Source organism: Homo sapiens, chromosome 5 (genome assembly GCF_000001405.40).
Source record: "Homo sapiens chromosome 5, GRCh38.p14 Primary Assembly".
NCBI lineage: Eukaryota > Metazoa > Chordata > Mammalia > Primates > Hominidae > Homo > Homo sapiens.
This window is the reverse complement of record NC_000005.10, coordinates 126,541,267-126,563,060: the sequence shown is the minus strand read 5'-3', so window position 1 is coordinate 126,563,060 and position 21,794 is coordinate 126,541,267. Positions and strand designations below refer to the sequence as shown.

Sequence of the window (21,794 nt, the reverse complement as noted above, 5' to 3'; positions counted from 1 at the left end):
TACAGCCTATCTTTAGAACTTTTTCGTCTTGTAAAACTGAAACTCCATACCCTATAAACACTAATCCCTCCTTCCCACTACACCCAGCCTTGGTAGCCACCCTTCTACTTCTTTCTGTTTCATTGATTTGGACTACTTTCATTTGAGTGGGGTTATAAGTATTTGTCCTTTAGTGACTACCTTATTTCACTTAACATAATGTCTACAAGGTACAACCATGGAGTCTCGCTCTGTTGCCAGACTGGAGTGCAGTGGTGCAATCTCAGTTCACTGTAACCTCTGCCTCTTGGGTTCAAGCAATTCTCCTGCCTCAGCCTCCTGAGTAGCTGGGATTACAGGCATCCGCCACCACGCCCAGCTAATTTTTGTGTTTTTAGTAGAGACAGGGTTTCACCATGTTGGCCAGGATGGTCTTGATCTCTTGACCTTTTGATCTGCCCACCTCGGCCTCCTAAAGTGCTGGGATTACAGGCATGAGCCACCACGCCCGGCCCAACGTACAACTATCGTGTAGCATGTAGTAGGATTTTCTTTTTAAGGCTCTATAATAAGCCAGGTGTGGTGGCTCATGCCTGTAATCCTAGCACTTTGGGAGGCCAAGGCGGGAGGATCTCTTGAGCTCAGGAGTCCGAGACCGGCCTGGGCAACATGCCAAGACCCTGTCTTTGCCAAAAAAAAAAAAGTACAAAAATGAGCTGGGCATGGTGGTGCATGCCTGTTGTCCCAGCTACTTGGGAGGCTGAGATGGGGGAATTGCTTGAGCCCAGGAGGTTGAGGCTGCAGTAAGCCATGATCATGCTAGTACACCCCAGCCTGGGCAACAGAGTCAGACCCTGTCTCAAAAAAAAAAAAAATTAATAAAAATAAAAAAAGGCTGCATGATATTTCACTGTATTGTTATACCACATTTACTAATTCATCAGATGATGCACATTTGGGTTGCTGCCACCTTTTGGCTATTGTGAATTATGCTACTATGAATATTGGTGTACAAATATCTATAGAGTCCCTGCCTTACTATGTTTGGTTATATACTCAGAAGTGGAATTGCTCGGTCATGTGGTAATTCTCTTATTTATTTATTTACTTACTTGAGACAGTCTCATTCTGTTGGCCAGGCTGGAGTGCAGTGGTGTGATCATGGCTCACTGTTGTCTCAAATTCCTGGGCTTCACGAGTAGCTGGGACCACAGGCAGACACTATCATGCCCAGCTAGTTTGTTTTAATTTTTGTAGAGACAGGGTCTTGCCATGTTGCCCAGGCTCTGTTATTTAATTTTTTGGGGCAATTGCCATACTGTTTTCTACAGTGGCTATCCCATTTTACTTTATTTTTCTTGAGTAATGTCAGATAAGACTGGGCACGCTCAGGGTGGTTTGGTTTGGCTGTAGACTTTCCTGTTAATTTCAAACCAAAATTATATGACCAACATAAGGAATTCCTGTAAACCCTTTAATCAGAGTCACTAATTGCTTACATTTTGCCCCATTTGATTTCTCATTTTCTCTCTCTCCAGCAACATCTGTGCGCGCGTGCACGCACACGTACACACACACACACACACACACACACACACTCTGTGGGTGCATATTATTGTTGAACTGTTTGGAGTAAGTCAAAGATGTGTCCCCTTTATTACTAAATATTTTGGTGTGTTTCCTAAGAATGTGGACATTTTCTTGTATAACCACAGTAGTTACTAAAATCAGGACATTTGATATTGATACAATAGTAATGCTACTTTATAAATTAGAAAATAAGTTGAAAAATAATTGGGATAGGGTGTAATCAGGATAGGCTATATGATTGGGATAGGCTATATAAAAAATAATTGGACAGGCTATATAATTTAATAATTGGGATTAGGCTGTGTAGCAGTGTGCAGTAAATATGGAAGTAGGCATTAATTTTTATATATAATTTTTTTCTTTTAAGGGAGAAGTCTGTTGGAACTTGGAGGAAACAATGCCATTATTGGTAAGGCTGCCTCTTTGTTTTTGTTTGTTTTCTGTTCAGTTTCCACAGTCGCCATCCTGAATATATGGAACTTGTTTGGGATCTCATTTCGTCCATGTTGCATATGCCTGAGACCTAGTTCCTGTGTTTAGGAATTTTACTTGGGAGACAGGACACAAGCTTGTTTTGAAGGCAGAGGTAACTAGGAAGGAAAGGTATTCATGTTTAGAACATGTTACCTGGGATGATCTAGAACCTGTGAATGAGACTTCCATTGCCATTGTAGTATGGCATTATTTCTTGTTTTTTCTTCTTCTGTTTGCTGAAAACTGGCCACATTTCTCTAGAATAACTTAAGTAACTCTTATGTGACTTGATCATTTCTTTAGATTTCAAAAACATTATTTTGTCTTTAGTGGAATATTGAGTGTTTTTATATTGGGAAGGAACATGTCCTTAAGGCATTAAAAAAATCACTTACCTATAGGCTTAGAGATTACTTATGCTCTTTTTTAACTGTTTGAGTTTGTCACAAAAATGCTTAGATATTTGTAGTTGACACACATAAGAAGTATGTGTAAGATATAAGAAGTATATGGTGAAGTGTTTGTTCTGGATGAACTTTTTTTTTTGAGACGGGAGTCTTACTCTGTCACCCAGGCTGGAGTGCAGTGGTGCGATCTCAGCTCACTGCAACCTCCACCTCCCAGGTTCAAGCTGTTCTCCTGCCTCAGCCTCCCGAGTAGCTGGAATTACAGGCGCATGCCACCATGCCCAGCTACTTTTTGTATTTTTAGTACAGATGGGGTTTCACCATGTTGGCAGGCTGGTCTTGAACTCCTGACTTCAGGTGATCCGCCTGCCTTGGCCTCCCAAAGTGCTGGGATTACAGGCATGAGCCATCACGCCTGGCCTCTGGATGGACTTTTAAAGAGAGACTTCAGTAAAAAATATAGTTCGCATTTAGTGAGCACTAGTGTCTGCCGGGTACTGTGTTCAGCTGTTTTATATGCATTATTTCATTTAATCCCTACAACAGTCCCCACTGGGAGGCTGAGGTGGGAGGATTGCTTGAGCCCAGGAGGTCAAGGCTGTAGTGCCACTACACTCCAGCCTGGGTGACAGAGTGAGACTCCGTCTCAGAAAAAAAGAACAAACAAAAAACCCCCCGAGAAATAAAAGATGAAGAGGCCAGAGGAGTGAGAGCCTCAATTTACCCTTGTATATCTGGGTAAAGATCATAGAGCTCATAATCTTCCTTGGAAGAAGAGTGTGCCTTTCCCCCTCGTCTATATATGTCTTCGTAACGTGCATATGGTTACTTTACAACAATAGTTTTGATGTTCTTTTACTGCACTTTATAAAAACGTTTGCCGGGCACAGTGGCTCACGCCTGTAATCCCAGCACTTTGGGAGGCCAAGGTGGGTGCATCACTTGAGGTCAGGAGTTTGAAAGTGGCCTGACCAACATGGTGACACCCCATTGCTACTAAAAAGACAAAAATTAGCCAAGCGTGGTGGCACATGCTTGTAATCCCAACTGCTCGGGAGGCTGAGGCAGAATCTCTTGAACCCGGGAGGCAAAGGTTGCAGTGAGCCGAGATCGTGCCATTGCACTCCATCCTGGGTGACAAGAACAAAACTCTGTCTCAAAAAAAAAAAAAAAAAACCAAAACCAAAAACAAAAAACAACATTGTTTTATACCAGCTAACAAATACCTTGTCTACCTGTTTTGGTTCGCTGATGGAAGTGTTTGTGCTTTCCTAAGCCTTTGAAGATGCAGACCTCAGCTTAGTTGTTCCATCAGCTCTCTTCGCTGCTGTGGGAACAGCTGGCCAGAGGTGTACCACTGCGAGGCGACTGGTGAGTATATCTGCATAGGCCCGATTGTCTTGCTCTTAAAACACTACTTTTTAATGAGTTCTGCTGTTAGAGAGGTGTCAGCAATACTGCTAGAACAACATGCTCTCTAGATGTGGCTGGCAAATATGTGGTCCAGTTCTCTTTCTGTGCTCATGGCAGATGTTGTTAATCATTCAGGGACTTTGCCTTTTTCCCACCCCAAGATAATAGGGGTTCCACTACCAATTGACTGGAGTTGGACTAGGAGATGAGACTGATATTCAGTCCTACTCCTAGAACAATATGGACGAAGTCCAGTGTCATTTAGAGAACAAAACAAGATAAAAATAAAAAGAATTATTAAACTATAGCTAAAAATAGAGTCTTGCACTTTTATAAAAACATTTTAAGTAGTAAAACATTTTAAACATTTTAGACTGGGCATGGTGGCTCAAGCATAGAATTCTAACACTTTGGGAGGCTGAGGCAGGAGTATTCCTTGAGCCCAGTAGTTCGAGACCAGCCTGGGCAACAAAGTGATTCCCTGTCTTTATAAAAAGTTAAAAAAAATTAGCAAGGCATGATGGCTCATGCTTGTAGTCCCAGCTACTTGGGAGGCTGAGGCAGGAGGATTGATTGAGCCCAGGAAAGGGCTCAATGAGGCTGCAATGAGCCATGATTGCACCACTGTACTCTAGCCTGGGCGACAGGGCAAGACCCTGTCTCAACCAATCAATCAATAAACACTTTTATTTTTAGCCTCAAGTCTAGAATTAGATTTGACTTGAAATGACATGATTCATTGAAAAGCAAATGGCTATGTATATGTGTGACCTCTCTATATACATATATAGCCTGCATACATATATATATCGAGAGGACAGATTAATATTAAGTGTATATAAGGAGATGTGGTTTAGCTTCAATATGGGATTTGGGAAGTTGAATCTCTACACTTAGATTGAGCTGGTCTTGAGTTTAGTATGTGTTACAACTTTGATTTTCATGACTTTATGGTACTAAAAGACTATACTATAACTGAGCAAGTTTTTTTTGTTTTGTTTTTGTGTTTTTTTTTTTTTTTTTTTTTTTTTGAGTTGGAGTCTCGCTCTGTTGCCCAGGTTGGAGTGTAGTGGCGCGATCTTGCTCACTGCAACCTCCACCTCCTGGATTCAAGCGATTCTCCTGCCTCACCCTCCTGAGTAGCTGGGACTACAGGCACGTGCCACCCTGCCTGGCTAATTTTTGTATTTTTAGTAGAGATGACATTTCACCATGTTGGCCAGGCTGGTCTTGAACTCCTGACCTCAGCTGATCCACCTACCTCGGCCTTGCAAAGTGCTGGGATTACAGGTGGAAGCCATCATGCCCAGCCCTGAGGAAGTTTTAGTTAGGTACAAAATTTGGCTGCATTTGCCATTTAAAAAAAATTATTTTTAAGCTCTGTTGGACTTGAGCCTTTTTTATTATTGTTGAGTTTTCCTTTTGTAATGAAAAAAGCCTTCAGTTGAATTATTAAGGAATTGGCTTTGGGTTTTTGCTCTCATTCATATTGAGTGTGAACAAATTCTTTATAAGACTGACATAATCTAAATTAATTAGAATAAGCTAAAAGATATATGAAAATTATCTTTACCTTACACTTTTCTTTTTTCTTTCTTTCTTTTTTTTTTTTGAGATGGAGTCTCTCTCTGTTGGCCAGGCTGGAGTGCAATGGTGTGATCTCAGCTCACCGTAACCTCCACCTCCAGGTTCAAGTGATTCTCCCACCTCAGCCTCCTGAGTAGCTGGCACTACAGGCACCCATCACCGTGCCTGGCTAATTTTTGTATTTTTATTAGAGATGGGATTTTGCCATGTTGGCCAGGCTGGTCTCAAACTCCTGACCTCAGGTGATCTGCCTGCCTTGGCCTCCCAAAGTGCTGAAATTACAGGTGTGAGCCACCGCACCCGGCCTCTCACACTTTTCATATTTGTTTTTTCAGGTGTTTTGCATAAATGAAAATAAATCTTTATTTTTACACAGCTGACATTCTCAAATAATCTGATACTACATTTGTAACTTTAAAGTTTATTAAATTTGTTCACCATAAACATTAAATTGCGTTAAAGATTACGTTAAAGCTAAGAAAAAACCATGCACTCCAAATGATTATACCCTTCATTACATGGTAAAATATGAAATGACATAAAAGCCAAATATTTCTCTATTCAGCCAATTTTTATTTTTTTCATGTGTTTTGGAGCAAATATTCATAGACGTCTTTTATATTAGTTTTAAATATTAATAGGTAATATTAGTCATTGTCCAAATAGATTTCCTTAGAGTTAGCAGTAATATTTTTAAAAATTCCATTACTATGGACTGCTTCATGACTAGTTCTCATAATGTCAATTCATTCATCACATGTGGAGACTAACCCAGAGCATAGATGGTTTGGCAAGTTCAGCTCTGCCACTTGGAGCATAGCATGGACCTGACAACTACCCAGAGAATGCAAGGGTTGTCCTCACCTAATTAAGGCCTCCTCTGGAGACCTGTGTGGCCTGGGGTTAAGTGTTTGTAGTTACCCAGCAGAGGTCAGTTATGACTATGCTCTGTGTTCACTGGGACTTAGGGTTACAGTATGGGACACATGTACTTGAGGCCTTCTTTAATGTATTTGTGAAGCTTAGACAAATACATCCTTGGAAACTTGATGAAGATGTGGCTTATGGACCGGGTGTGGTGGCTCACACCTGTAATCCCAGCACTTTGGGAGACTGAGGTGGGTGGATCACCTGAGGTCAGGAGTTCAAGACCAGCCTAGGCAACATGGCAAAAGCCTGTCTCTACTAAAAATACAAAAAATTAGCCAGGTGTGGTGGTGGGTGCCTGTAATTCCAGCTGCTCGGGAGGCTGAGGTATAAGAATCGCTTGAACCCGGGAAGTGGAGGTTGCAGTGAGCTGAGATCATGCCACTGCACTCCAGCCTGGGTGACAGAGTGAGACTCTGTCTCAAAAAAAAAAAAAAAAAAAAAGACATGGCTTATGATTTTATTCTATTATCTACCTAAAAGGAAAATTTTGACTTCATATAGTTAATATTAAAATGATAAATTATATAATTAAAAAAATAAACATGCTTTGATTTTCTTATATTTTTAGAGATTACAGTATTTCAGTAACTATCAAGGAAATTATTCATTGTTTAAAAATGTGTGCATTTATCATACTATGCCCTTGAATATCTTTTTTCGTTTAGTTTATACATGAAAGCATCCATGATGAGGTTGTAAACAGACTTAAAAAGGCCTATGCACAGATCCGAGTTGGGAACCCATGGGACCGTGAGTATCTCCTTCTGCTTTCAAAGCGATCCCTTTTTGAGAGCTGTTGTTAACAAGTGTTTCTGATCTGAGTTTTGGAGTTTCTTTCCCTTTCCTGAGAGGCGTGAAGGCACATGAAGCAGGTTATTAGGCTTTGGTGTATCGTGTCTGCTCCTAGGTTTCGACCCTGGCTGCTTGATGTGTGCTAGTGGGTGAGACTGGGAGAGGTTGTTTAGATGGAATGAGATTTAGTGTGCTTCTCTCTCATTACTATTACCCTTGTCCAAGCCGACACCATCCCTCTTGTGCAAGGCTGCAAGAATCCCCTAACTGACCTTTCTGCATCCATTGCTACAGAATGATTTTTAAAATGCAATCAGATAATTCACTCTCCTGCTTAAAATACCCCTCAGTAACTTCTCATTGCTTTTAGATTTTTTTTCCTTTCTTTTTTTTTTTTTTTTTTTTTGAGACACAGTTTCACTCTGTTGCTCAGGCTGGAGTGCAGTGGCTTGATCTCAGCTCACTGCAGCCTCCGCCTCCTGGGTTCAAGCAGTTCTCCTGCCTCAGCCTCTCGAATAGCTGGGATTACAGGTGCATTCCACCACGCTTGACTGATTTTCATATTTTTAGTAGAGACAGGGTTTTGCCACGTTGGCCAGGCTGGTCTCGAACACCTGACCTCAAGCAGTCTGCCTGCCTGGGCCTCCCAAAGTGCTAAGATTACAGGTGTGAGCCATTGCGCCAGGCCTGCTTTTAGATTAAAACCGAGAGTCCTCTTGATTTCTTCTTTTTTGCAGGCTCCCGATCCTTCCTGGTCTGCTCTCTGCCTCCTGCCCCGCTTGCCTTCTCACCAGCCTTTCTGTGTCTATTTTCCCTCTTGCTCCCAGAGCTCCACCTTCTCCAACATCCTTTCAGTGTTCCAGGCATGCCAGGCTCTATCCTACTGTGCTGTCTGCTGGAAACATTCTTCACCCAGAGTGGGGATGGCTCTGCTAACATGCCTCCTCCTCATAGAGGCCTACCTACATCTTCCTTCTTCTTTGTTGCTGGGTCACTGTCAGTGCTCTAGTCCCCAGCAGCCGTAACATAGGACAGCATCATTCTCTTCCCCCTTGAATTATACACCAACTACTGAGACTGTGATGTTTCCTTAGAGAATGGTCACACTGTAATGAGTAAACTGACCCTATATTTTGAGTGCAGTGCTTTGAGTAATTGATAGCCATTCCTTTAAACTAGAGATTGGCAAACAGACTTGGCTCTGCCTGTTTCTGTAAAAAAAAGTTTCTCGGCACATACCCACTCATTTGCATGTCATTTATGGCTGCTTTTGCACTACAATTACGGAGTTGAGTATTGGGATGGAGATCACGTATGTCCTCCAAAGCATAAAATATTTACCATCTGGTTCTTTATGGAAAAAGGATGCTGACTTATGTTCTCAATTGAGAGCATATAGGAAGGGATTGGTCTGTTCATTGAGAAAGCTGTTCTAATAATAAAACGATGCCATAAAGGGCAAAATGATGAGCCAGCCTTCCTTTTCTCTCTCCAGCTAATGTTCTCTATGGGCCACTCCACACCAAGCAGGCAGTGAGCATGTTTCTTGGAGCAGTGGAAGAAGCAAAGAAAGAAGGTGGCACAGTGGTCTATGGGGGCAAGGTAAGGGATGCTCTGAGATCAATTGTGACAGCTTTTTAACCTTCTTTTCCCTGAGACACAAGCAGGGCTCTGGGCATATTGGAAAAGCCACCCCATTTGACATCCTTCTTCTCCTGTCTTTATTTATATATATTATTATAAAACAAGGAAACACATGTTTTTGTTTGTTTGTCTGTTTTTGAGACAGAGTCTTACTCTGTGCCCAGGATGGAGTGCAGTGGCGCAATCTTGGCTCACGGCAACCTCCGCCTCCCAGGTTCAAGTGATTCTCCTGCTTCAGCCTCCCGAGTAGCTGGGATTACAGGTGCATGTCACCACACCCAGCTAATTTTTATATTTTTTGGTAGAGATGGGGTTTCCCATGTTAGCCAGGCTGGTCTCTAACTCCTGGCCTCAAGTGATCCACCCACCCTGGCCTCCTAAGGTGTTGGGATTACAGGCATGAACCACCACACTTGGCTCTGTTTGTTTTTGTGACAGGGTCTTGCTCTGCCACCTAGGCTGGAGTGCAGTGGTGCACGATCTCAGCTCACTGCACCCTCTTCCTCCTGGACTAAAGCAATCCTCCCACCTCAGGCTCCTGCGTCTTGCTCTGTTGCCCAGGCTGGAGTGCAGTGGCGTGATCTCAGCTCACTGCAACCTCGCCTCCCAGGTTCAAGCGATTCTCCTGTCTCAGCCTCCCGAGTAGCTGGGATTACAGGCACCCATTACCATGCCCAGCTAATTTTTGTATTTTTAGTAGAGAAGGGGTTTCACCATGTTGGCCAGGCTGGTCTGGAACTTCTGACTTCGTGATCCACTGTCCTTGGCCTCCCAAAGTGCTGGGATTACAGGCGTGAGCCACCGTGCCCAGCCAGAAATACACGTTTTAAAGAATGACAACAATGCTTGCTTTGGCAGCACATATACTAAAATTGGAAAGATACAGAGAAGATTAGCATGGCTTATGCACAATGATGATATGCAAATTCATATCCGTATTTTAAAAAGTATTCCATATTTTAAAAAAAGACAGCAGAAAATGCATGGGACATTTCTGGAAGGACATAGAAGAAACGGAGTCATGGTTGCTTTTGAATTGGGTCCTTAATATTTGTATGGAAAGGAAAATTCCTTTTCAAGTACAGTAGGAGACTTTGTATTCAGAGCAATTATAATCTATTTATTGGTTATTTTAAAAAGTCAGTTAAGGCAAGGAATAAAAAAATACATATCATAAGCATTAAAAAAGAAATTAACACATATTGCCAGGTGCAGTGGCTCACACCTGCAATCTCAGCACTTTGGGAGGCTGTGGTGGGAGGATTGCTTGAGGCCAGGAATTCAAGACCCACCTGGACAACATAGTGAGACCCTGTCTCAAAAAAAAATTAGCTGAGTATGGTGGCATGCACATGTAGTGCTAGCTACTTGGGAGGCTGAGGTGGGAGGATTGCTTGAGCCCACAAGTTCGAGGCTGCAATGAGTCATGATGATGTCACTGCACTGCAGCTTGGACAACAAAGCAAGACCAAATCAAAAACAAAAAACCAAATAATAAAAAAAAAAAATCAAAAACAAAAAACCCCCCACATATAAAGATTTGTTTGTGGCCGGGCATGTTGACTCACACCTGTAATCCCAGCACTCTGGGAGGCTGAGGCAGGTGGATCACTTGAGGTCAGAAGTTCAAGACCAGCCTGGCCAAAATGGTGAAACCTGGTCTCTACTAAAAATACAAAAAAAATTTAGCTGGGCATGGTGGTGCATGCCTGTAGTCCCAGTTACTTGGGAGGCTGAGGTGGGAGGATGGCTTGAACCCGGGAGACGGAGGTTGCAGTGAGCTGAGATCAAGCCATTGCACTACAGGCTGAGTGAAAATAACCGCTTGCAGCAGTGTTTGTTCAACATAACTTGGTTGTGTCACATGGCATGGCTCTCTATCCCTGCCTGACTCCTTATTTCCATTTTTCTCTGACCAACTAAGTTAGAACCAATATCAGGAAGAGAGAATTTTCTTTCATGATTGGAAGTTATTTTGGAGAAATAATTCACCTATAAATGATGCTAATTTTTTTCTTTATAAATGTAGGCAAAGATTGCATCCTCTGACCCCAAGTCCTAGAAAACAAAATGCTTTCATTCTTTTTATTTCATTTCTCTGCATTAGGTTATGGATCGCCCTGGAAATTATGTAGAACCGACAATTGTGACAGGTCTTGGCCACGATGCGTCCATTGCACACACAGAGACTTTTGCTCCGATTCTCTATGTCTTTAAATTCAAGGTAAAAATGCATTCTGTTCGCTAGCCTGATGTTGAAATAAATGATAAGAGGAAAATGATGGTGGATTAAATTTCACTGGATGAACCTTTAAGAGGGTTTTAGAAAGTAATCTGAATAGTAGATATATGAAGGTTCAGGATAAAATATGAGATAAACACTTTAAAACTCTATAGCATGCCAAGCTAGCTGCCAGGGAAACCAGATTGGGTAGTGGACCAGTGTTGGAGTTTATGAAGTGTGTGGTCCTCATTTCCTGTGTCATCTTAATCCTGGGCTGTGTAGGCCATAGAGTCACCTTCTCCTGAACCGTGGTACTGGATAGTTTGATAGCCTGAGTGCTGTGAACATGTCAGCAGACAAAATGAGAACATGTGGGGGTAATACAAAGACCTATAGTTGGCCAGGCACGGTGGCTCACACCTGTAATCCCAGCACTTTGGGAGGGTGAGGCAGGCAGATCACCTGAGGTCAGGAGTTCGAGACCAGCCTGGCCAACATGGTGAAACCCCGTCTCTACTAAAAAACAAAAAAATTAGCCAGGCGTGGTGTTGGGCGCCTGTAATCTGTAATACCAGCTACCTGAGAGGCTGAGGCAGGAGAATCACTTGAACCCAGGAGGCTGAGGTTGCAGTGAGCCGAGATCGCACCATTGCACTCCAGCCTGGGCAACAGAGTGAGACTCCATCTCAAAAAAAAAAAAGACCTATAGTTATAAACTCCAGCAGAGGACAGGCTGCGGAGTTTTGTTTTGTTTTCCCTGATCTCATATCTTGATCTCAAACTGTAAAGGTTTTAATAGGTGAAGAAGCTGGGCACAATGGCTCATGCTTGTAATCTCAGTGCTTTGGGAGGATCACTTGAGGCCAGGTGCTCAAGACCAGCCTGACCAACACAGTGAGACCTTGTCTGTACAAAAAAATTAAAAAATTAGCCAGGTGTTGTATGTACCTATAGTCCTAGCTACTCGGGAGGCTGAGGTGGGAAGAGATCCTGTCTCTAAAACAAACAAATAAATAAAACCCAAAAAACCCACACAGGTGGATAAATTAGAAGATCTCATTCCCTAGCTTGAGACGGGCCCTAGCCTCGCCAGTAAATATTTAGGATTAATTTTGAGACTGCAGAGATTGAATCAATATTTGAATGTACCATTATTAACAGTAAAATAATAGTGAGAATTGCATCTTGTTGCAATTACATCATTGCTTCTTTATTTCTTGCTTTAAATTGCCTATCATTGTTTCACGTATGGGGACTAGAGAATATAATTTTGTGTTTTGTAATGTGTTTGTGTACATTATGAGGCTGTGTGAGCTCTTGAGCAAATTAGTCTCTGTAGGCCTCAGTTGCCCAATCTGTAAATTGGGAGGTAGTAGGAAACCTGTGTTATAGGATGAGGATTAAATAACTAAATGCATGTTAAGTGCTTAGATTGGTGTGTTACACACGTAAGAGCTCAATAGATATTAGCTATTATATGTAGTAGCTTGAATGAAAGGAAGAATGTGTTAATATTTGTTTCTGATAATTAGGGGAAAAATCCCAAAATTTTTTACTTATTATCAATGATCTGAATTATAAGAGAAACAGAGTGAGTAAACTTGACTCTTTGGTTTCCTTTTGTACACTGAAATTATACTGGTACACTTCAGGAAATGAGTTTAATGTCAGTGAACTTTGACTTGAACACTATAACATCTTACAGCTTCCAATGTCTCTCCTTTTAGAATGAAGAAGAGGTCTTTGCATGGAATAATGAAGTAAAACAGGGACTTTCAAGTAGCATCTTTACCAAAGATCTGGGCAGAATCTTTCGCTGGCTTGGGTACAACTTTGTCTATTTTGAAAATTTATATAAGTCTGATTTATGTGGTGAGTGGACTTAAAAAAACTGCTGTAGTCTAAAATCAGTTTTTCAGTATTGAAAGCCTTTGAGCTTTGGTTTAGATTTTTTATTTATTTTTGTTTGTTTTTAATTTCCTGTTCATTGCTCTCACCATGCCTCCCTTTTTACACAGACCTAAAGGATCAGACTGTGGCATTGTAAATGTCAACATTCCAACAAGTGGGGCTGAGATTGGAGGTGCCTTTGGTACGTAGAGAATCATTTCTCCTTTTCCATGTTGGGCAGCAAAGAAAAACCAGTAGTAGCTTTTAGAAAAGGCTGACCAAGAGACTGAAACACTCCTTATATTCTGAAATAACCTTATGTGATCTAACATATCTGAAAAAGCTTACATTCTGTATTCAAAGTTATCGCATAGAGTCCTGCGTCATCTCCTCAGAGGCAGCATCAGGTTAGAGCAGAGGCCCTTAACTTGAAATGTGTGAACCCCTGAAATGGTGGCATTTGTTTTCTGGGGAGAAGTTTCCAGACCCAAAAAAGATTAAGAATCCCTGCTTCAAAGCCAGAAAATTTTATATGAAATATTCTGGTTTTTATTTGCAAAGTAGGCATATAAATGTTAAACATACTCTTTTTCACTAGATGGAATACAAAGTTGTTTCTTTTCACTGGGCCCTGCTCCTGTTTCCTCTTAATAAGCCATACATTATTAATGCTGAAACTTGGTAGTAGTTTTTCCTTAAAAACTCTCCCTAACCATTGTATATTAAGTATTATTTATTAAAAATGATCCAAAGTAAAATAAAACAGATTGCTTGTTTTTTTTAAATATAGAAGCAAAACAAACATGCATTAATACTTGTAAAAGTTTATATCATTAGTAGCATTCTTTTACATTTTTAGAGCAGATACTACAATTACTATTTGATGCACGGACTTTGCTGTTTTCAGTTCACCCCTTGCCCCTGCACTCCACTGTGCAGTTGCCTGAATGCATGAGTGTCTATCTTCTCCTTTTGTACTAATTTAATCCCTGTTTCCAACCCATGCCTGCTCTCTCTGATTGACTATTCCTTTTTTTTTTTTTTTTTTTTTTTTTTTGAGCTGGGGGCTTGCTATGTTGCCCAGGCTGGAGTGCAGTGGCGCGATCACAGCTCACTGCAGCCACCACCTCCCAGGCTCAAGCATTCCTCTCGCCTCAGCCTCATGAATAGCTGAGATTACAGGCATGTGCCTCCACACCAGCTAATTAAATTTTTTTTTTTTTTTTTTTTTTTTTTAGAAACAGGCCCTCACTATGTTGCCCAGGCTGGTCTTAAATTCCTGGGCTCAAGCCATCCACCTGCCTTGGCTTCCCAGAGTGTTGGGATTACAGGCATGAGCCACTGCACCCAGTCAATTGACTATTCTTCATTTAAGCTTTTATAATTAATTTTTAAAGTTTTGGTGCCCAGGCACAGTAGCTTACACCTGAAATCCTGGCACTTTGGGAGGCAGAGGTGGGCCGATCGCTTGAGCTCAGGAGTTCAAGACCAGCCTGGGCAACATGGCAAAAACTCATCTCTACAAAAATTACAAAAATTAGCTAGGCATGATGGTGTGTGCCTGTAGTCCCAGCTACTTGGGAGGCTGAGGTGGGAGGATCTCTTGAGTCTGGGAGGCAGAGGTTGCAGTGAGCCAAGATTGTGCCAGTGCACTCAAGTCTGGGGACAGAGTGAGACCCTGTCTTCCCCCGCAAAAAAAAAAAAAAAGTTTTGGGCTGGGCATGGTGGCTCATGCCTGTAATTGCTTAAGCCCAGGAGTTTGAGATGAACCTGGGCAACATGGTAGGACCCTGTCTCTACAAAAATTAAAAAAAACTAGCCAGTTGTGGTGTCACACACTTGTATTCCCAGCTACTCGTGAGTCTGAGGTGCAAGGCTCGCTTAAGCCAAGAGTTTGAGGCTGTAGTAAGCCATGATCCCACCACTGCACTTCAGCCTGGGTGACAGAGTGAGTGTGACCCTGTCTCTAAATAAATAAAAGTTTTAAAAAAGTCTTATAATGGAAAAAGTAGTTTTGCTCATACTTTTCTTCTCCTCCTCCTTTCCCAGAGGCTACATTGAGATTCTTTTTTTTTTTTTGAGACGGAATCTTGCTCTGTTGCCTATGCTGGAGTGCAGTGGTGCAATATTGGCTCGCTGCAACATCCACCTCCCCAGTTCAAGCAATTCTCCCGCCTCAACCTCGTGAGTAGCTGGGATTACAGGTGCACGCCACCATGCCTGGCTAATTTTTGTATTTTTTTAGTAGAGATGGGGTTTCACCATGTTGGCCAGGCTGGTCTTGAACTCCTGACCTTGTGATCCACCTGCCTCGGCCTCCCAAAGTGCTGGGAATACAGGTGTGAGCCACTGTACCTGGCCGAGATTCTTTTTACTAAAAGAAAAAAGCAAATTTACCTTTGAATTGATGTCAGTTTTTCTAACTAGTGTGCTTTCACTGCTGTCTCCTTGAAAGCTTTAGACATTATGTATTGACCCTCTATTATGATAGAGGTTTCTGTCCAGGAGCAGGACACATGGGAGTCAACTAGTAGGAGAAAGTAGAAGAAGCTGTTCTTTTCATTTTCTTCTTGGATGCACCCAGTACCCTTGCATACTGAAGAAGCAGTAGAAAACAGAGGCAGGGAGGGCCCTGCAGGCCTGGCTAGCAAGCGGAGGGCAGTGGGGTACCAGCTCTCAGAATAGTGAGCATGGTCCTTGAAAGTGGATTAGTTCATTCCCCCAGCATGTGCGTAGCTGGATAGGGAGTCTCTTGGGAGATTTTGACTAGGACTTGTTTCTTCTGCTTTTATTCGCTCTCTCCCTACTCCCTCCCTGCCCACCTTGGGTAGAAATAGCTTTTATTCAAGTGCAATAAAAGAGTTTGTTGGGGAAGACCCATGAGGTGTTATCTTGTAGAATGAGCACTGGGTGAGGAACCAAGAGACACCATCCCAGTCCCATTTACTGCTGTCACTAGCTCCGGAACCTCAGGCAGGTGCTCAGCCTTGGTTCCTTAGAGCCTCTGCGACTCTGTTCCTGCCAGGAGTTTCAGAGGCGCTGTTAGCTGTGGTTTGTTTTATTTCAAATGTGTGCAGGCTTTTTGCTGGCTTCCCATTCTTTGAAGTCAGTTATGTCTCTTTTTACTTTGCTTGTGCATTTGAGAGCTAGAAGGGCAAACATTCAGCTGTGATTTTTCTGGAACCCATTTAATGGAGATTCTTTCCCTCTCATGAGAAAGACCAGGTGAGTAGTTAATAGAGAAGCTTTTATTTCAAAATTGTTATATTTTCTTAATGTATTTCTATCAAATGGGAATATTTGTGTTTTCCCTGATAATTTAATACAAGTTATTGAGAGAGATAAAGAAGACAGTTACAGCTCCCATATTCTTGTGCCCTGCTCAAAAGAAAAACTATGAATAACATGTGTGGGCTGGGCACGGTGGGGTTACAGGCATGCACCACCACGCCCAGCTAATGGGATTTTTTTTTTTTTTTACCGTTTCTTTCTGTTTCCATTTCTTCTTAATTCCTTATATTTTATTTTCCCTCTTAATTCCTTTTTTCTGTTTGTTTTGGTCTCTTGGTCTCTGTCTTTGATTTGTTTGCAGGGGAGATATTGTGGGCTAAATGTAAAGTAAATAATCAGGTTGTTCTGGTGTCCTTTTGGTATCTTCTTTTCATTGATACCAACTATGAGCCCACATGGAAACTGCTCAGAAGATATGATATTATTTTTTATTTCTCTAGGAGGAGAAAAGCACACTGGTGGTGGCAGGGAGTCTGGCAGTGATGCCTGGAAACAGTACATGAGAAGGTCTACTTGGTAAGAAAAGGCTTTGGGAAGATAGGTTTGGGCTTAAAACCCTTGGGAATGGGCTTTTACACTTTCCTACTGTCTGTGCTGTCTTTGTGCAGTGTCATTTGATTTGATTTTTCCAGCATTCCACAGCTGTCTCCTCTAAGTATCTATTTGGTGCTATTTTTCTAGCCTTCTTGTCTAGCTTCAGCTAGTGCCCAGCACCCAACAATGAAATGGTCTCGTGCGTGGTTTCTGTATTTTTAGTAGAGTTGGGGTTTCTCCATGTTGGTCAGGCTGGTCTCGAACTCCCGACCTCAGGTGATCCACCCGCCTTGGCCTCCCAAAGTGCTGAGATTACAGGCGTGAGCCACAGCACCCGGCTAATTTTTGTATTTTTAGTAGAGATTGGGTTTCACCGTGTTGGCCAGGCTGTTGTTGAACTCCTGACCTCAGGTGATCTGCCTGCCTCGGCCTCTCAAAGTCCTGGGATTACAGGCATGAGCCACCATGCTGGGCTGTTTCTTGCACTTTTGAGGGCACACTTTTTTTTTTTTTTGAGATGGAGTCTTGCTCTGTCACCCAGGCTGGAGTGCAGTGGCCTGATCTCAGCTCACTGCAGCCTCAGCCTCCGCCTCCCAGATTCCAGCGATTCTCCTGCCTCAGCCTCCCAAGTAGCTGTCATCACAGGCCTGCACCACCATGCCAGGCTAATTTTTGCATTTTTAGTAGAGACCGGGTTTCACCATGTTGGCCAGGCTGGTCTTGAACTCCTGACCTCAGGTGATCCACGCCTGCAGTGGCTCATGCCTGTAATCCAAGCAGTTCAGGAGGCTGAGGCAGGTGGATCATTTGAGGTCAGGAGTTCAAGACCAGCCTGGCCAACATGGTGAAACCCCGTCTCTACTAAAAATACAAAAATTAGCCAGGCGTGGTGGTGCACAGCTAATCAGGAGGCTGAGGCAGGAGAATCGCTTGAGCCTGGGAGGCGGAGGTTGCAGTGAGCTGAGATTGTGCCATTGCACTCCAGTCTGGGTGACAGAGTGAGACCCTGTCTCAAAACAAAACAAACAAACAAACAAAAACCACCACCAACAAAAAAAACCATGTATGGTATGTCTTTCCAGATTTTTATGTTTCTGTCTTTTTTCTTTTAAATAAAACGGGATCCATACTAACATTGTCTTTTATCTTAAAGGTTTGTCTTAAAAAGTTGTAACTTGGAGATCTTGCCTTGTTAATATATACAGATCTGCTACATTTTAAAAGTGGGCATGAAAATCTTCTGTTATGTATGTACTGTCATTAATTCTGTTATTTTTTCCCACTAGTACTATCAACTACAGTAAAGACCTTCCTCTGGCCCAAGGAATCAAGTTTCAGTAAAGGTGTTTTAGATGAACATCCCTTAATTTGAGGTGTTCCAGCAGCTGTTTTTGGAGAAGACAAAGAAAATTAAAGTTTTCCCTGAATAAATGCATTATTATGACTGTGACAGTGACTAATCCCCCTATGACCCCAAAGCCCTGATTAAATCAAGAGATTCCTTTTTTAAAAATCAAAATAAAATTGTTACAACATAGCCATAGTTACTAAAAGATGAGTTAGGTGGATTTTTATTATGTCAACTAGTTGTACATGGCTTTTTAAAAGTTAATGATTATTTTGTAATTAGAAAAAAATAGTACGTACCAGGGTAGGAATTTGGGAAAATACAGAACCGAGGAGAAAACAGAAGTCTTTGCAGTAGATACAGGGTGTCTCCTGACCAAGTGAAGGATTCAGGGGCGGGGGGTGAATATTGCTTGACATTACCCACCTATGGCATGTGTTGGATGTCGTGTGATTGAAAGGGGGATGCATTCCCCTGTATGCTTGGACCACAGTTCAGTATTCATGTGGAATAACTTGCAGTGCTTAAAATGACAACAGGCATTCATCACAGTTATGGCTCTTGCTTATGAAGGCTGTGTCAACTTGGAAGAGATTTCTGGGGTAGACAGATTTTGTTCCTGTGCTGGAGTCTGCCACCTGCTGGAGGACTCTGAGGCCAAAATTGCCCGTGCAGAGTTGTATAGAAAATGCGTCTGGAGGCTGGGCAAGGTGGCTTACGCCTATAATCCCAGCACTTTGAGAGGCCGAGGCGGGTGGATCAGTAGAGGCTAGGAGTTTGAGACCAGCCTGGCCGATATCGTGAAACCCCGTCTTTACCAAAAAATACAAAAATTAGCCCAGTGTGGTGGCAGGCACCTGTAATCCCAGCTATTAGGGAGGCTGAGGCAGGAGAATTGTGTGAACCCAGGAGGCAGAGGTTGCAGTGAGCCTAGATTGTGCCACTGCCTGGGCAACAGTGAGATCCTGTCTACAAAAAAAAAAAAAAAAAAAAGTGCATCTGGATTTTTTTATACAACCTTAGACCACCTTCTTTAGCTTTAGGCGTCTGCGGTTGCCCTTGGATCTGTTCTCAATCCTCAGTGTGTGTGGCAGCATGTGGTCATAGAGAGCTGGGCAAAGTTCACTTTCTCTTTGCTGACAGTCTCACCTTTTCTCACTGGGAAGCTGCACAGGAGCCTTTGGGCTGGTTCAGCCCAGAGGCCCCTGTTCTCCTGCCTTCCTGGCATTCTCTGCTCCCCTTCTGCATGGCACCCCTCTACTCCTGCCAGGTTAGAATGGAGCAGAGGCCTTTGAACAAGATGACATTTGTAGACAACCTGATCCATCAGGATGTGGAGAGATCTGGACAAATGGCAAATAATTTGGGGTTGAATTATGGCCCAGAGAAGTAAGCAAATGAAAAACTAAACAATTATAAATGTATCTGGGAAGCAAAGGTATTCATAATATGTCCCATGGCCAGCTGCGAGCAGTATTTAACTAGACATGCTGTTGTCAATATTGAACATGAATCAAGCCAAATACTGATATAGCTATTGAGAGAAGGTTGGCAGGAAGAAATCATGGGTGAGGGTATGTGGGAGTGATAATCTTAGCTATAGATTTTAGGTAAAACTGATTCTGAAAGCTTTCTTTGAAACAAATTTATAATTTTTCTTCTACATGTTTCTAGCACAAGGACTCAATTTTTTTTGGTTATAATGTTCATTAAAACATATGCCTTCAATTTGTTCCTCTTTGTTCTTTTTTGCTGATTTAGCAGATATAAATCACTTGTTAGTATTTTTAACTATCCAAGTTAAAATGTACATTTGTAAGTGTTATTACTGGTCTTATATTTGAAGGTGCAAGGGGTCTTGTGCTGCTCATTACTGGTTATCTTGAGCATTTCATAACTGCTGCCTCCTCCTAAATCCTGTGTTCCAACCGCTACTGCTGGCAATGCCCAGCCTCCATTGTGGATGCGGGGAATTGTGTTCAGCATGCTTGCTTCTGCCACGGCACTAAAGCCTAACTTGCTTAGGATCTTGCTGTACTTGGAGAGAGCATCCATTCGCTGAGCCTAGCAGCCAGGCTCTTGTGACTCCCTGGGAAGTGGGTGAAGACCTGGCTCCTGGCTGCAGCAGTGAGGAGGCAGGCCCTCCAGGTGAAGACTTCTCACAATGGAGGGAAGGCAGTTTTCTCAAAGGAAATTGAGTGCTATTATGTACTCTGCTTCCTACTTTCTCTTTCAGGGTGGGAATCTGTTAAGCCTCCTCTCTCTCTTGCTCTGCAACCACAGAACACTTCTTTTTTTTTGGTGTCTCAGTTTTGCCCACACTGGAGTGCAGTGGTGCAATAGTGGCTCACTGCAGCCTCCAACTCCTGGGCTCAATCTATCCTTCCACCTCATGCTCCCCAGTAGCTGGGACTACAGGTGCATGCCACTGTGCCCAGCTGATTATTATTTTTTTTTGTAAAGATTGGGTCATACTACATTGCTCATGCTCGTCTTGAACTTGTGGCCTCAAGCGATCCTCCTGCCTCAGCCTCTTGAGTTGTTGGGATTACAGGAGTGTGCCACCATGCCCAGCTCTGTGGAAAATTCTCTGTGGCATTCTGTCTCCTGAAAATGCTGAAGGGACCAAGAGGGCTCTGTGTCCTTCCTCTTCTCTTCCCTGGCACTTTCAGACCATTTTCTTGTTGCCTTCATTCTAACAAAGGTTGCAGATTGGAAAGCTGATTTGGAATGCTTTTTAAGTGTTTTCAGTTTCAATATTTTTATGAAATTCCTATGGTCTCCAACAAACTTTTTTTTTTTTTTTTTTTTCTACACCTGGAGCTTATCCTGCAGAAGCTTCCTGCCAATGATTGTTTTGGAGGAAATTAAAAGAAAACCAAACGAAACCTCTCCTATCCAAGGGGAAGAACTTTATCCCCATATTGATTGAATATAGGATTCTAGATTTAAAATGTTGTAGGCAGTTAGAGTTTGCTCTTTTTTTTTTTCTATTGGAAAGGTCCACAAATGTTTTATTGACATTTTTGTCTTTAATCCATTTGGATTTGGGGTACATGTTACGATTTGTCTACGTTAATTTCCCTTTTAAAAATAAAAATAATTCCTCAACTCCAATTAGACAATTGGGTTGTCCTTTTCACACTGATACCTCTTTTATAGTACACTGCATTCTTACATATAACAGGATCTGTTTTTAGCTGTGTATCCTGATTCAGTAATTGGTATATGTGTGTGTGTATATAGATAAATAGAATGCCATTTCCCTGTGCAGACGGAAGGGCAAGCTTATTCCCTTTTCTGCGACTACATCTCCTGTCAGGTGTCGCCTCTGCTGTGGCTCTATAGGATTCTGTTAGATAGTGGTGGTCATTGCACAACTCTACAAATATACTAAATGCTACTCAATTGCTCATTTTAAAATGGTTAAAATGGTGAGTTTTATGTTGTATTTTACAATAAGAGAAAAAAACATACAAAGCAAATTAAGCAATAAAAAGGGCAGTTACTAACTCCAGGGAAAATAACATTTGATTCTGTGATCTTTTAAATTTCTTCTACTTAAATTGTTTTAGAGTTCTACATATATTAGCCATGTGACCTGCAAAAAGTAACCTAATCTCTTTGAACTTCATTTTCTTGTCTGTAACGTGGGTTGTATCAGTTCGGTTTCTTTGTGGCAAGCTGCGGA

General features: G+C 42.1%; 1 protein-coding gene and 1 pseudogene across 3 annotated transcripts in view, besides 3 other annotated features; both read left to right on the top strand.

Annotated features, from left to right (window-relative positions):
• The window catches only part of ALDH7A1 (aldehyde dehydrogenase 7 family member A1), a 53,379-nt gene extending 32,159 nt beyond the window's left edge, over window positions 1-21,220 (top strand). For 2 of the 3 annotated variants that reach the window (NM_001182.5, NM_001201377.2), the window contains exons 10-18: window positions 1,937-1,978; window positions 3,727-3,821; window positions 7,046-7,130; window positions 8,668-8,774; window positions 10,924-11,040; window positions 12,768-12,865; window positions 13,059-13,132; window positions 16,662-16,737; window positions 18,042-21,220. In NM_001182.5, coding sequence (NP_001173.2) covers window positions 1,937-1,978; window positions 3,727-3,821; window positions 7,046-7,130; window positions 8,668-8,774; window positions 10,924-11,040; window positions 12,768-12,865; window positions 13,059-13,132; window positions 16,662-16,737; window positions 18,042-18,096 — 749 coding nt within the window. In that variant the 3' untranslated portion in view covers window positions 18,097-21,220. The remainder of the gene's footprint in view (window positions 1-1,936; window positions 1,979-3,726; window positions 3,822-7,045; window positions 7,131-8,667; window positions 8,775-10,923; window positions 11,041-12,767; window positions 12,866-13,058; window positions 13,133-16,661; window positions 16,738-18,041) is intronic. The other variant, NM_001202404.2, reaches the window with a different exon arrangement.
• Window positions 9,663-9,759, top strand: LOC124901189 (uncharacterized; annotated as a pseudogene).
• Window positions 12,057-12,158: a silencer, noted in NCBI's record as "fragment chr5:125886595-125886696 (GRCh37/hg19 assembly coordinates)". NCBI's record gives its function as "represses an EF-1alpha promoter that drives an FKBP-Casp9 reporter gene in an ReSE screen in phorbol 12-myristate 13-acetate-treated (for megakaryocytic differentiation) K562 erythroleukemia cells {active_cell/tissue: K562(+PMA)}" and the evidence as "EXISTENCE:reporter gene assay evidence [ECO:0000049][PMID:32094911]".
• Window positions 18,614-18,663: an enhancer, noted in NCBI's record as "active region_23023". NCBI's record gives its function as "activates an Ori minimal core promoter by ATAC-STARR-seq in GM12878 lymphoblastoid cells {active_cell/tissue: GM12878}" and the evidence as "EXISTENCE:reporter gene assay evidence [ECO:0000049][PMID:35858748]".
• Window positions 19,030-19,324: an enhancer, noted in NCBI's record as "tiled region #10286; HepG2 Activating DNase matched - State 5:Enh". NCBI's record gives its function as "activates a minimal TATA promoter and a strong SV40 promoter by Sharpr-MPRA in HepG2 cells {active_cell/tissue: HepG2}" and the evidence as "EXISTENCE:reporter gene assay evidence [ECO:0000049][PMID:27701403]".